Source organism: Homo sapiens, chromosome 12, assembly GCF_000001405.40.
Source record: "Homo sapiens chromosome 12, GRCh38.p14 Primary Assembly".
Lineage (NCBI taxonomy): Eukaryota > Metazoa > Chordata > Mammalia > Primates > Hominidae > Homo > Homo sapiens.
In genome coordinates, this window is record NC_000012.12 from 106,719,551 (window position 1) to 106,734,039 (window position 14,489).

The 14,489-nt window shown below is 41.1% G+C and overlaps 1 protein-coding gene and 1 long non-coding RNA gene across 4 annotated transcripts in view; one reads left to right on the forward strand and one right to left on the reverse strand.

The window, feature by feature from the left end:
* Positions 1-14,489, reverse strand: part of LOC100287944 (uncharacterized) — a 278,422-nt gene that overhangs the window by 223,141 nt on the left and 40,792 nt on the right. The window lies entirely within an intron of this gene.
* Positions 1-14,489, forward strand: part of RFX4 (regulatory factor X4) — a 179,800-nt gene that overhangs the window by 136,547 nt on the left and 28,764 nt on the right. For all 3 annotated transcript variants that reach the window (NM_213594.3, NM_001206691.2, NM_032491.6), the window contains 4 exons: positions 410-504; positions 1,209-1,326; positions 12,580-12,699; positions 13,374-13,535. In NM_213594.3, the coding sequence (NP_998759.1) occupies positions 410-504; positions 1,209-1,326; positions 12,580-12,699; positions 13,374-13,535 (495 nt within the window). The remainder of the gene's footprint in view (positions 1-409; positions 505-1,208; positions 1,327-12,579; positions 12,700-13,373; positions 13,536-14,489) is intronic.

A 14,489-nucleotide genomic window follows, 5' to 3' on the forward strand; every position in this document is an offset into this window, starting at 1 on the left:
TAAAGTGCTATGTGAGTGCAGAGGAGGGGTGATCAGTTCTGCGGGCAAGGGGCATGGAAGGTTAAAGGGATTTCATACCAGGGCCATTTCAGCTGGGACATGAGGAACCAAGTAGTGGGAAAAGCCTGAAAAAAAAAGACTAAGGCTATGAAAAAAGCAGGGCTTGCTGGCGGAATGGCAAGTAATATGGGATAGCCACAGTTTAACATGTTCACAGGCATGGAAGATGATCTTGGAAAGGTAAGTTGGGGCATGTTTTATAAAGTCTTGAATGCTCTGCTAAGACCTTGGAGTTTTATTTATTTAAAGTTTTACTTTATTCAAAGTTTTGTTCCTCTGTTCTTTTAAGACGTAGCTCTTGTTAAATACAACTGCAGTGATGCGTGTGGGGTTCTCCTTTGTTTGACAGTATATCAGGAGTTTGACCATCTCTTGGAGGAGCAGTCTCCCATCGAGTCCTACATTGAGTGGCTGGATACCATGGTTGACCGCTGTGTTGTGAAGGTTGGTAAACCGGCACCTAGCGGGCAGCCTTGGGCCCTGCAGCCCACCACTGCCCTCTGTGAACTTGGCCAAGACAAAGCCCTATGGTAAGCTATCTGAACAGGGTTTTGAGGAGAGGCCCCAGGAGGTGGAGGGGTCAGGAGGCAGGACTCTTGAGTCTTCCATCCCTGATTCAACCAGGTCAGCATCTCTTTTATCTGCTCTATACACTGAGTCTTGGTATAAGATTTCATTTTTTAAAGTTTTTTTGCTGCTACAAACAAAACAAAAACCATTGCTCCATAGCATTGACTTTGAAGACCATAAGCCTTCCTGTCATTTTTCTGTATTTATTTATTTATTTTTGAGACAGGGTCTCACTTTGTTGCCCAGGCTGGAGTGCAGTGGTGCGATCACAGCTCACTGCAGCCTTGACCTCCCCAGGCTCATGTGATCCTCCCACCTCAGCCTCCTGAGTAGCTGGGACTACAGGGGTGTGCCACCATTCCCAGCTAATTTTTGTATTTTTTGTAGAGATGGGGTTTCTGCCACGTTGCCCAGGCTGGTCTCAAACTCCTAGGCTCATGCGATCATCCGCCCACCTTGGCCTCCCAAAGTGCTGGGATTACAGGCGTGAGCCACTTCAACCGGCCTCATTTTTCAAAGAGACAGTAATAAATGAAAGGTCAAGTCGACCACTATTAAAGCCATTTACTTTCTTGTAGGTGGCTGCCAAGAGACAAGGGTCCTTGAAGAAAGTGGCCCAGCAGTTCCTCTTGATGTGGTCCTGTTTCGGCACAAGGGTGATCCGGGACATGACCTTGCACAGCGCCCCCAGCTTCGGTAAGGCCACCCCAGCCCTCCCCATCTCCAAGCACTTTTTCCTCTGGGCACGGAGCCCAGAGGAATCTACCACAGTCTAACTTGCTGTTTCTGCAAGGTCATCACCCTGAAACACATCTCTTCTGGGGAGACATGACATTGTTAGGACTTTCAGGGAGAGAGATGGCATTACATGCTAAAGGTGGAGTATCAATCTGAAAATGAGTGGTTTTGCCCACAGATAGTACTATCTGAGCTTAAAGAAGAATAAATTGCAGTGGCTGTACTCCCCATGCCTAGATGTTCCCAGTGATTGCTGCTTCCAAAGCACAATTTCATAGAATCCCGTATTTGTGCACTTCCCAAGACTGGGCACATGAAGAAACCTCTGAGTTTGAACACTTGCAAATGGCTTGATTGACCATACTCTTGCTGTGGGCAGATGACCTTAAGTTTTCTTTAAAAATGTACTCTAGTCTAATCCCTAAAAGAGGGCATTTGCATTCACTTTCCCTTTTGTTTCACTGACCCTTTAAGTCTTCATCACCTCCAGGAGATATCCCCACCTCAAGTCTTCATCTGCTGCTTTCTAGTATAACAGGGCTTGAAATCTCTGCCCAAAGGTACTGATAACAGTCTCTGCGGGCAGCAACCTGATTACTGAATCGGGGTGAATGTTATGATACATTGTAGGACAGTTTTCTACTTTTCACCAGAAAGAAAGCAGTATGTACTGAGTCCAGGTCATCATTGGCAAACTGAGATGGGACTTTTAGGCATTATCCAGACATTTGAAATCCCAAAACATTTTGGTTTCAATTTTCTAGGCATTTTCGGCAAAGGGGCATTGGTAAATTTTCTGGGTAATTGCTTCAGTTCTCTATTTCCCTTTGCAAGTAAGGGTTGTGGTTTTGTTTCTCATTATCTCCAATTAAGCCAATCAGCTCTGGGTTTTGCTGTGGGTTTAATTTGACACTTTTCCATCTAGCTTTTTATGGTCTTGTCACCATTTTCCAGTTGTGCTATACAACGAAGTAAATATGTGGGAAAACAAAGAAGGCACTATTTTTTCTAAACAGCCCTGTCCATGAAAGACTGTGTTTACCCACTTGGAGAAGTGTTTTGTTGTGGATTTCTTTAATCTCAGCATTGGAAGGTTCTCTGAACCTGCCTGCACCATGGCTACAGATGGAAATTCTCTTTGAGCTGTATATGGAAATGCTCTGCTGACTGCTACCTGGGCAGTGCCATCAGGCATGGCATTTTGATGACTTCCAGTTCAGCACAGTTAGTGTTAGCACATGTTACCTCTAGCTCTGGAAAAATCATTCATGCAGAACTGTTTTCCCTTAAGTGAACTGTTGGAAAATATTTGAGATTTCTTCATTGCTTCCAAGTCAGAGAATCAACAATATCACACACAAACACACATATCCACATCCACACAGCGAGCATCCTCTCCATGCTTTATCCTTTACTCTTCAATTTGCTTATTCTTAAACTGACCACGTATGGTAGCAGGTGCCTTTCATTAGACAGGGAAAGTAATTCCCTTGCAATATTCTTTGAAATTCATCTGTGCTTACTGAGTTAACAGTCAATGTAAAAAAGAAAGCTTGAGCAGGAGAATGATTAGGCTTTATGAATGGGTTGAATTTATTACTAAGAAATATGGTTCCTTGAAATGTGTTTCTTTTTGAACCACACACTCTTTTGGGATAGATATACTGGAAACTCAGGCAAATGGCAAAAAAAGATGATCACAAATCACTTAGAAAAGGAGAAAAAGAGATATTAACCCAGTCTCAGTTTTACAGTATTTCTCAACCCTGAGTGGGTTGAAATAATACCTGTCTCCAAGTCCATTTAGCAAACTATCTGAAATGGCCCAGCTCATCTGACTCATTGTTGAATTTTGCAGCTTGGGGTGACAGGCAAGTTAAAAGAGTTTGCAGCAGACAAAAGCCCAGCTCCCCCTTTCTGCTTATATATGTCAAAGACCCAGTTGGTGGTTGTGTTTGGGTCATGTGTTCCCTGTATGAAAACAGCTAATTAGGAAAAAGAGCCCTCTGTTCCTTGGTCCCCTCCCCCAGCCACAGGGGCCAGCTCTATATATCTTATAACTCCCACATGGTCCTTGTCGCTGTGAATGGGTACAGGGTTTGTGTGTCAGCGTAGCAGGCTGACCATTACAATGATCGTGTGGAATATCACAATGATCCTGTAGGGGACTCTATCACCTCTTCCCAGAACAGCCTCTTTCAAAGGTAGTTGACTCCTTTCTTCTCCTTAATTCCTTTTCACTCTCTTCTCCTTAATTCTTTTTCACTGAAAGAACCTATGCTGTGAACTAAAGTAGCCAGACTTTCTTTCTTTGCTGCAAGCAGTGTTTCTAGCAAAATTAGTTACCAAAGGTAGGCTATCAGGCAAACTTTTAGTCCTAATGAAGCAGAGCAAATCAAAGTTTTGTTTTTAAAAAACACCATCTTTTTAGTCGACTGATCTGATTTCAGTTCCTAGAGTACCTAGATCTCAAGTTGGTGCCAGCGCCTTTACCTTTTCATTCTGGGTTTTCAGCAAATGCCTGCTTATCTCACTGTTATGAACATCTGGAAGGTAATAATAGTTCCCGGAAGTACTCCAGCATATATCAGTTTATAAAGCAGCCTGGGTGTGACAGCTGAGGGGCACAATTGCACAACACTTCCACAGTTTCACTTTTTTACACACCTGTTGTCTGACCTAGCATCAAAGCTCACTCACTTGGGCAGGGCTGGGGAGACCATGTGGGCATGTGTCAGGGAGCGGCTCCCAGAACAAGAGGCCATGACCAAGCCTTCCCAACTGCTTCTCTATGCTTAGATGGCCTGGCCCAGCTCTCTTTTAGACAGAATCTGCTAAATTGCAGGACCTTAATGTTCGCAATGTCATTCAGGCCCCCACCAAGCACTAAGAGACAGGAATTGCTTTCCCTGTAGTCAGGAGTGGAAGTAAAAACCCAGAGAAGAGAGGACTTGCGTGTGGACTCAGGGAAGTGGCAGATTGAATTCAACCCGCAATTGTTCCCATGCTAAAGCTGGAGTTTTTTTCTGCCATGCTACACTGCCACCACCTCATTTACCTTTCTTTAGGTAAAAGAAAATTAATAACAACACAGAAACATGTATTGAGGGCCGAATATACTTTAGACATTACATTTTCTCAATTACTTCTCACACAACCCCGTGAGGTCTGAATTACTGCCCTCAATATGACAGACCAGGAAGCTGAGGTAGTACTTGAAGGATTTGCTTAACATTAGAGATAAGAATGAAGCAAAGACAAGATAATGATGACTATTATAAGAAATATTTTGGAAGCACATACTATCATTGAATTCTTGCATTAACTCTGCAATGTAGGTAATAATAGACACTTTCTAAAGAGGTGAGAAGGGAGCTTGGAGAATTTCCTTGCACAAGATCAATGCAGCAAATGTCAGAATTCTGTTTCAAAATCAAACCTGCCTGACCGCAAAGCCCATTCCTTTTTGATTATCACAATTAAGGCAAATACTCTGGGCTCAGATGCATGCCACAATAGAGCTAGAAAAATTTATTTAATCCACATTGATGGTATTAATATTTTTAAAATATCCATGGATTAAGATTTAAAAATTTAAAGCTATGAGAGAAAAGAATAATTATTAGACTGTCATGAGCAGTAAGAGATGCCAGAAGACAATGGAGTAATATCTTTTAAGTGTTGAGAACAAAGAACTGTCAACTATTATTCAAGAGTGAGGGCAAAATAAAGACATAATCAGTTATACAAAGACAGAATTTGGCACCCACAGATGTTCACTTAAAAAAACAACAACAAAAAACTATTAAAGGATGCATTTCAGCTGGGCGCGATGGCTCACACCTGTAATCCTAGCACTTTGGGAGGTGGATTCCCTGAGGTCAGGAGTTTGAGACCAGCCTGGACAACATGGTGAAACCCCGTCTCTACTAAAAATACAAAAATTAGCCGGGTGTGGTGGCGGGTGCCTATAATCTTAGCTACTCGGGAGGCTGAGGCAGGAGAATCGCTTGAACCCACGGGGGCAGAGGTTGCAGTGAGTCGAGATGGCACCACTGAACTCCAGCCTGGGTGACGGAGTGAGACTCCATCTCAAAAAAAAAAAAAAAGCCATAGCTGAGGTCTAGAATACAAGAAACAACAATGTTCTAGTTATTGTTGCCATTGCTGTGTAATAAATTACCTAGGCTTAATGGCTTTAAGACAACCATTTTATTATGTTTATGGATTTTGCAAGTCAGGATCATGTGTCAGCTCACAGTTCCACGTGCAAGTGCCCCAAATGTGAAGTCACTTTGCTTTTATGATCCCTTCTTAGATACAGTGTAACTTCCCTCATACTCTATTGGTCAAAGGCAGTCCCAAGCCTACCATGAGTCAAGGAGGCGCACAGACCCCAATTGTTAATGGACGGCACATCAAAGAATTTAGGGACCCTGTTTTAAGATGAAAGAAATTTAAAAATATGTAAACATATTTAATTAACTATTGAATGTAATTTAAAAACTAAAAACTAATTTGTATATGTGTTTTAAAAAGTTAAAAATAAGTTCTAGGTAAAACTATAACATGGAGTAATGAGAAGAGAATCTTCAAGGAACAGTTAAAGCATGCTAATGTCTTTGTCTTTTTTAGGAATACTAGGTAACTTTAGGCTTTGTTGGAGAAATTTACAGTTTGGATTTAATAAATGTTTAGCATATATGTTAATAAATTAAGGTATCATTACTAAAAGAACACAATCATGATTTATGGAGGAAAATGGAAAAATATGAAAACTTAAGAGACAAAACGTTAAATGGAAAAGAAGAATTGAGAAGATAAAAGAAGCATAGAAAATGGATGGTAAATGAAAGCACAAAATAGCATGGTAGAAATAAAGACCAAATGATAATCACAATAAAGGAGAAAGTCTCTTCCTCCAAAAAAAATTAGGCATAAATGTTTTTATAGGCAAGTTTAACTAAACTTATAAAAAATGTAAAATCTTTAGTCTATGAAAATAAACATGAAAATCAATATTTCAAAGAATAAAAGAAAAGAAGAGGCCGGGCGAAGTGGCTCACACCTGTAGTCCCAGCACTTTGGGAGGATGAGGCGGGCAGGCAGATCACGAGGTCAGGAGTTCGAGACCAGCCTGACCAACATGGTGAAACCCCGTCTCTACTAAAAATACAGAAATTAGCCGGGCATGTTGGCACGCACTGTAATCCCAGCTACTTGGGAGGCTGAGGCAGGAGAATTGCTTGATCCCGGGAGGCAGAGGTTGCAGTGAGCTGAGATCGTGCCACTGCACTCCAGCCTGGGCAACAGAGCAAGACTCCATCTAAAAAAAAAAAAAAGAAAAAAAGGAAAAAAAAAAGAAGAAGAAAATCTGTTTTCAGTGACTGCAAAGTTTAGGACATCCTGGCCCAGCCTAGGATGTCTGATCTCATTGTCCTCAGTGCTGCTTTGCCCACCTCATTCCCTTCAATAAAATGGTTTGACCTGCCCCCGCAAAATAAGGAAATGATTGTATTCTTTTAGTAATGATACCTTAATTTATTAACATATATGCTAAACATTTATTAAATCCAAACTATGAATTTCTCCAATGAAGTCAAAAATTACTTAGTATTCCTAAAAAAGACAAAGACCTTAGCATACTTTATTCCTTGAAGATTCTCTTCTCATTACTTCGTGTTATATTTTTACCTAGAACTTATTTTTAACTTTTTAAAACACATACACAAATTAGTTTTTAGTTTTTAAATTACATTCAAAATAAAGAAATATACAACTCATTTTACAAAGCTAACATAATCTCGATTTCAAAATCTGGCAAGAAAAGCAGAGGAAAAGAAAATTATGACTCAACCACACTTTTTTTTTGAGACAGAGTCTCACTCTGTTATCTAGGTTGGAGTGCAGTGGTGCAATGTCGGCTCACTGCAACCTCCGCCTCCTGGGTTGAAGCGATTCTCATGCCTCAGCCTCCCAAGTAGCTGGGATTACAGGTGTGTACCACCACGCCCAGCTAATTTTTGTATTTTTAGTAGAGAGGGGGTTTCACCATGTTGGCCAGGCTGGTCAGGAACTCCTGACCTCAAGTGATCCACCCACCTCAGCCTCCCAAATTGCTGGGGTTACAAGCATGAGTCACCACACCCAGCCTACACACATTTTTTCCATAGGTGAAAAAAATTCTAAATAAAACACTAGCAGATCAAATTTAGTGGCAAAATTTTTTAAATCAATATTAGACTATGCCAAAAATCCTAGTAGGAAAAATTACCAATTAACATACTATATTAATAAAAAGAGAAGAATCATAAAATCATCATTATAGATACAGAGAAAAAAAGCATTTGATACATTTCAGCTCTCAGGTATGGTTTTTAAAAAACCTTTTAGCAAACTAGGAATAGAAGGGAATTTAATATCTTAAAGGGCATCTACAAGTCTGCAGCAAACATCACACTTAATGGCGAAATGTTAGAAAATTTCCCATTTCTATCATGAAAAGACAGGAATGCCTTCTAATATGATATCTAATAAATATGTACTGGAGGTCCTAGCCAATGCCTTAAGAAAAGAAAATGAAATAGAAGAATTAGAAAGGAAAACACAAAATTGTCTTTATTTATAGATGTCATGATTGCTGGCAAAAGAGAATCCACAAACTAATAGAACCAATGAGAATTCAGTCAAGTTACTGAATTTAGTTTGTTTTTTTTTTTGAGACAGAGTCTTGCCCTGTTGCCCAGGCTGGAGTGCAATGGCACGACCTCAGCTCACTGCAACCTCCGCCTCCTGGGTTCAAACCATTCTCCTGCCTCAGCCTCCCGAGTAGCTGGGATTACAGGTGCGCGCCACCACACCTGGCTAATTTTTTGTATCTTTAGTAGAGACGGAGTTTCACCATGTTGGCCAGCCTTGTCTCGAACTCCTGACATCATGATCTGCCCGCCTCGGCCTCCCAAAGTGCTGGGATTACAGGCATGAGCCACCGCGCCCGGCCCTGAATTCAGTTTTTATAAAATCATTGGCATTCTTAATTTCACTAACTCGAAAATATAACTTAAAACATACACATTCACACAATTCATAATAGCAAAAGAAACTAAAATGTACCTAGAAATAATTCTAACAAAAAATTGGTGGTGATTACACTGGTGTTCATTTTAGAATTCTCTATATTTTTCTATGATGCATATTTTTCATAAGAAAGATGAAATGCTTTGATTCTACCAAATGCAATCAACTATATTACCATATAACAATAACAAAATAAAATCTCCTTTTGTCTCTAATCCTAATGCCTTTTTCCATAACAGGCTCTGCTGCTCCCTAGCTCTGTGACTTTAAGCAAGTTATTCAAGCCCTCTGAGCCTTCATGTCCTCATGTATTAACTGAAGATAATACCTTCTTTGCAGTGTTGTTGAGAAGTTAAAAGAGCTTACTTAGCGCGGTGCATATGGAAGTAGTCAATGCTTGCCTATTTGATTCATACATCTAACACATATCCATTGAGTCTCTATTGTGTGCCTGGCAATGTTGTAGTCACTGGGTATAAAGCACTGGTCAAGACAGAAAAATCTCTGCAAGATAGAGCTTACAATCTAGTGGAGGAGGCATGCAATAACAATTAAGTTAAATACAGGTTATAGTATTTAACTTCGATGGTGAGAAATGCTAAGGAGATAAATAAAGTGGGATGTTCGCTGTAACTGCCTCTCTCCTCTTGTCTTTGGTGTCTCTCTGTCTCTCTCATCAGTCTTTCTGTATCTCCTTTTCATTTTCCTGTCTTCATCGATATTCACTATCCTCATCGCTGCGACACTCTGGCAATGAACTGTTTACTGCCCAATAATCTTAATGATTAATTTCTGCTTAGTAAGAACACTTAGCTTCTGTGGAGTCTGAGACTGAGCTTTATGCCTCCTTTGTACTCAGAGCACTTAGCACAATGGTAAGCAGGTAGCAGTAGCTCTACAAACTCTTGTTGTTTGAAGGATTAAAATTTAGAATGGAAAATTAACAGACAAACTGGTAGCTGATCAGAGGCATTAATGAAGAGAGCTTGAAGGCCCATGTCAAATCCGCACTTTCCCTAAAGTACCGGCTTCCAAGTTCAGCTCTGATGTTTTCTAAGAGTAATCTTAGGCAAGTTTCTTCACCTCATCAGATCTTTGTTTCCTTGTCTTATAAAACAAGAGAATGGTATAAAATGATTTCTAAGTTGTTTGTTCATCCTAAAACTACTGGTTTGGATTTTTATCATCCAAGCTTTCCATGCTAATTCATTATTTCATAGTACATTTCTCTCTTTCTATCCATGTTGACTTTAGATCAACATCCCAGCAAGTAATTTCTTCATTTTGGAGACCCTTTCCTTATTTGATGCTATCTTTTGACTTGTTTGACTCTATGAACAAAACAATCATGTCATGAGATCTTAGAACATAGCAGCAAAAGGGATCTTAGCAATAATAATAATAGCTACCAATTATTAAGCATCTAATATACACTTTTACTCATTTTAGTACTTCTGTAATGTACATTTTACTGTCCTTTTGGAGAGCTGTAGCACATAACGATTGAGGAGCAACTTCAGAGTCAGACAGTCCAGGGTTCAAGTCTTGGTTCTGCCGCTTAATGACTGTGTGACATTAGACAGCTACTTTACCTCCCTAAGCCTCACTTTCTTCCTTTGTAAAAGGAAAGTATCACTTATCTCACATGGTTGTGATGAGGATTAAATGCCAAAATAAATCTCTGGTGGTTTACACAGTGGCTGCCACAGAGGCAGAGGTCAATAAATGTCAGATTTTGTTTTCAGTATTTATAAGGATTAGGGAGGGTAAAGGAACTCATCTAAAGTCTAAGCTACTAAGTGGCAGAGCTAGGATCTCAACCTGGGCAGTTTGATCAACAGCGCATGTAATTACCCACACAGTGCTGTACCTCCTCAGTGGTTCACAGGATCCCATTTCAGAGAAACAGTTGGAAAGTTTAGTTTTAGAGACTGCATCTCACAGTGATTGAGCAGAACCTGGACTTTGCTGAATACCAAATGGCATTGAAAAACAGACATAGTACTGGAGATGGAAGAAGGATGTGAAGGAGGTGCAGGACAGTGGACCTTGGCCTTGAGCTCTGTGGGAACAAGGACAGGAGTTTATGGCAGGCTGTAGAGAGAGGGGGTCATGTTCATGACCTGCTGAGCATCTAGTGGCCTTACAGTTAAGCCAGGGATCTTCCTCTCTAGCCTTTCTAGACCAAAAGAATTAACTGATCTGAGATGAAGGGTGTGGGTGTATACAGAAGCCAGGTGCAGTTAAGGAGAAAATACATAAATTTCACCAAGGAGTGCTCCACAAGCCCCCAACTAGCCTCCACTACCTTATGTCTGAGACTTGGAGAGACCTAGCTCCCAGCTCAAGTGGCCCCTGTAGGGGCCAAGTCACTTATGCCATCTGGGCCTTATTTTCTCATCTGTGCTATGAACATATTGAACTAAATGACTTATAGGGGAATGGGAACAGATTACGGAGCCAGACCAAACTGAGGCAAATCCCTACTTGATTACTAATGAAGAGACTCATTTCCTCATCGGTAAGGGAGGATAATACCATCTACCTCACAGTTTGTTGTAAGGAAGAAACATATGTTCAGTGCTTAGCAGAGTTTTTGGTACAGAGTAAACACTCAATAAACAGTAGATGTGATGATGATAATAATGGTGATGGTAATGATCCATGATGAAGACAGAATGACAAAAAAAATAATGCCAGAGAGTCCCGTAAAGTCTCTAAAAGGCTGGGCGTGGTGGCTCATGCCTGTAATCCCAGCACCTTGGGAGGCCGAGGTAGGTGGATCACCTGAGGTCAGGAGTTTTAGACCAACCTGGCCAACATGGCGAAACCCATCTCTACTAAAAATACAAAACTTAGCCAGGCATGGTGGCACGCACCTATCATCCCAGCTACTGGGGAGGCTGAGGCAGGAAAATTGCTTGAACTCGGGAGGCAGAGGCTGCAGTGAGTCAAGACAGCGCCAATGCACTCCAGCCTGGGCAAGGTAGTGAGACTCCGTCTCAAAAAAAAAAGTCTCTAAAAAAGCAAACTAGAAGGAAATGGGAAAAAAGCAAACAGTATACTGGTCAGCTTGGAGAGAGGTGAGAAGTTTTGGACATTTTAAAGGGACTGCAGGATATCTACATGGAGATGTCCTATTGGGACCTGGAAACATGGGATGGGAGATAAAGGCTTGGCCCCTCTCTCTGACCCTGGGTCCATGAGGCCTTGATTACAGTAGACATTAACTGAGCCCCTACCGAAGGTGCACCATTCCACTGTGCATGGTAGCAGCATGACATGCAAAAAAAAGCTGGTTTTGAAATAATGTATTATCTATTAATCGTGTCATCTTGCATAAGTGCTTGGCCTGCAAAATAAGAATAAAAATACCCACCTTGCCACATGGTTGTAGTTATTAAATTAGAGAAGATAAGACTTTGAGCACAGAGACTGGCATATAGGAAAGTCTTTAAAAATGACTGTTCACATTCCCTTTTACAAAATAATCTACTCTAAATTGAAAAATGAAGACTGCCACTTGAAAAGACCAACTATTTTTAATGAATTACCTTTTCTAAGAACCATGTGCTAAATGAGGTCTTGAAAACATTTAGGGAAATAAGTAAATAACTTGTTGCAGATTTAAATTTTCAAATTGGCTCCTAGAATTATGTCAGGTACATTAGTAGATAGCAATACAAGGCAAAGTCCCTGCCATGGACATACTTAAAGTCCAATTGGGGGAATAATATGCTGGTGGAAGAGATAAAAATGAGAGACACTATGTTAATAAATGCCGAAGAGAGTGAGCGGTGCTCACATGAGGATGAGGCCAGTGGGTAAGCAAGAGCTCAGAGATGGCTCGGTGGGTGCCATTTTTGATGGTGTCATACTGATATAACTTCAGCAAGGAAAAGATTCACTTGCCACAAAGTGTTAATGACACTTACCTTATGCCAAGCACTAGGCTAAGGTGAGGATACAGCCAAGAACTGCAACCTATGACCATGAGGAGATCATAATTGAGTGGAAAATTAGACTCTTGAGCAGAGCATTTAGAACACTGTGTAACTTGTGCAGTTGACCAGACAGAGGGGGCATACACGAGACAGCACGACTTACTTTCTGTTTGATCCTTTTTTTCACCAGGGTCTTTTCACCTAATTCACTTAATGTTTGATGACTACGTGCTCTACCTGTTAGAATCTCTGCACTGTCAGGAGCGGGCCAATGAGCTCATGCGAGCCATGAAGGGAGAAGGAAGCACTGGTAAGCCAGCATTTTCCTGGGAATTGCACCACTTGGTAATGTTATTTGTATCCTTACTTCTGTGCTTTATGTTTCTTTAACTCTGTATCTCAAAGAATTTAGTTATGGTGAACAGGTTAAGTGGTATCAAACCAATCATGTCTTTTTCCTCTTTAAAGTGGGCATGTGGGCTGGGTCTGGTGGCTCACACCTGCAATCCCAGCACTTTGGGAGGCCAAGGCGGGCAGCTCACTTCAGACCAGAGTTCAAGACCAGCCTAGTCAATATGGCAAAACCCCATCTCTACTAAAAATACAAAAAATTAGCTGGGTGTGGTGGTGCACAACTGTAGTCCCAGCTGCTCAGGAGGCTGAGGCACGAGAATCACTTGAACCCGGGAGGCAGAGGTTGCAGTGAGCCGAGTGTGCGCCACTGCACTCCAGCCTGGGTGACAGAGCAAGACTCCATCTCAAAATAAGTAAATAAATAAATAAATAAATAAACAAATTAAATAAAGTGGGCATATTTATATACAGAAATTGCCTTGAGTGTCATGATGGTGATGGGAAACCATCGAAGAGTTTGACAAGAGAGTGACATCACACAGATTAGAATAATATTTCACTTTTTAAAGTCTTTTAGAGACACTTGCCTTTACATTTGGTTTTAAAAACTTACCCTATCTCTATCCACAGCAGAAGTCCGAGAAGAGATCATCTTGACAGAGGCTGCCGCACCAACCCCTTCACCAGTGCCATCGTTTTCTCCAGCAAAATCTGCCACATCTGTGGAAGTGCCACCTCCCTCTTCCCCTGTTAGCAATCCTTCCCCTGAGTACACTGGCCTCAGCACTACAGGTAATGGAAAGTCCTTCAAAAACTTTGGGTAGTTAATGTTTGAAGAAAGGGCTTTCTGCCAGCCTGGGCAACATAGTGAGACTTCATTTCCACACACACAAAAAGCCAGACATCTTGGCTCACACCTGTAGTCCCAGCTACTTGGGAGGCTGAGGTGGGAGAATTGCTTGAGCCCAGGAGCTACGATCGCACCACTGCATTCTAGCCTTAGTGATACAGTGAGACCTTGTCTCAAAAAAAGAAAAACAGGGCTTTCTGGAAAAACATTCTTCTCCCACAATCTCCAAAAGATAATGCCAAAACCTGGGTATCTTCCTGGATTTGTGAATGACGTACAGGTATTCATTTATTCATTGGTACACATTCTGTATGCTGCTGTTTTCAAGTTGGCAAATTAAGCATATGATAAAATCCCAAAACTAAGCCACTGAATTGATTATAATGCTATATAACATAAATACACAAACATTTTGAAAACAAGAAAGGGAACTCTCTGAATCAAAAACTGAGCTGCTTTCTTTTTCTCTGGAAAGGGAGGCAGACAGGAAACTTTACACTAAGCTATGGCAACCATAAGGAGGCAAGGGCTGTGATGTGAGTGGGTCTTCAGCTAAGCTAGAGCTGCCGGGCACATAGCATGAGGCTGATGCTACCGTGAGACTGTGTGGAGGCCCACACAGTCCAAGATATGCACAGGAGTCTCATAAGATTAATTTACAACCAAGAATTACCCAAGCTTGGATACACACCCAAAAGAAGGCAGAGATCCAAACAGATGTTTGTACATCAGTGTTCCTAACAGCATTTCTCACAATAGCCAAAAGGCAGAAACCACTGAAGCGTCTTATCGATGGATGATGGATAAAGAAAATGTGGTATATACATAAATGGAATACTATTGAACCTTGGAAAGCAATGAAATTCTGACTCATGCTACAACTCTGATGAACCTTG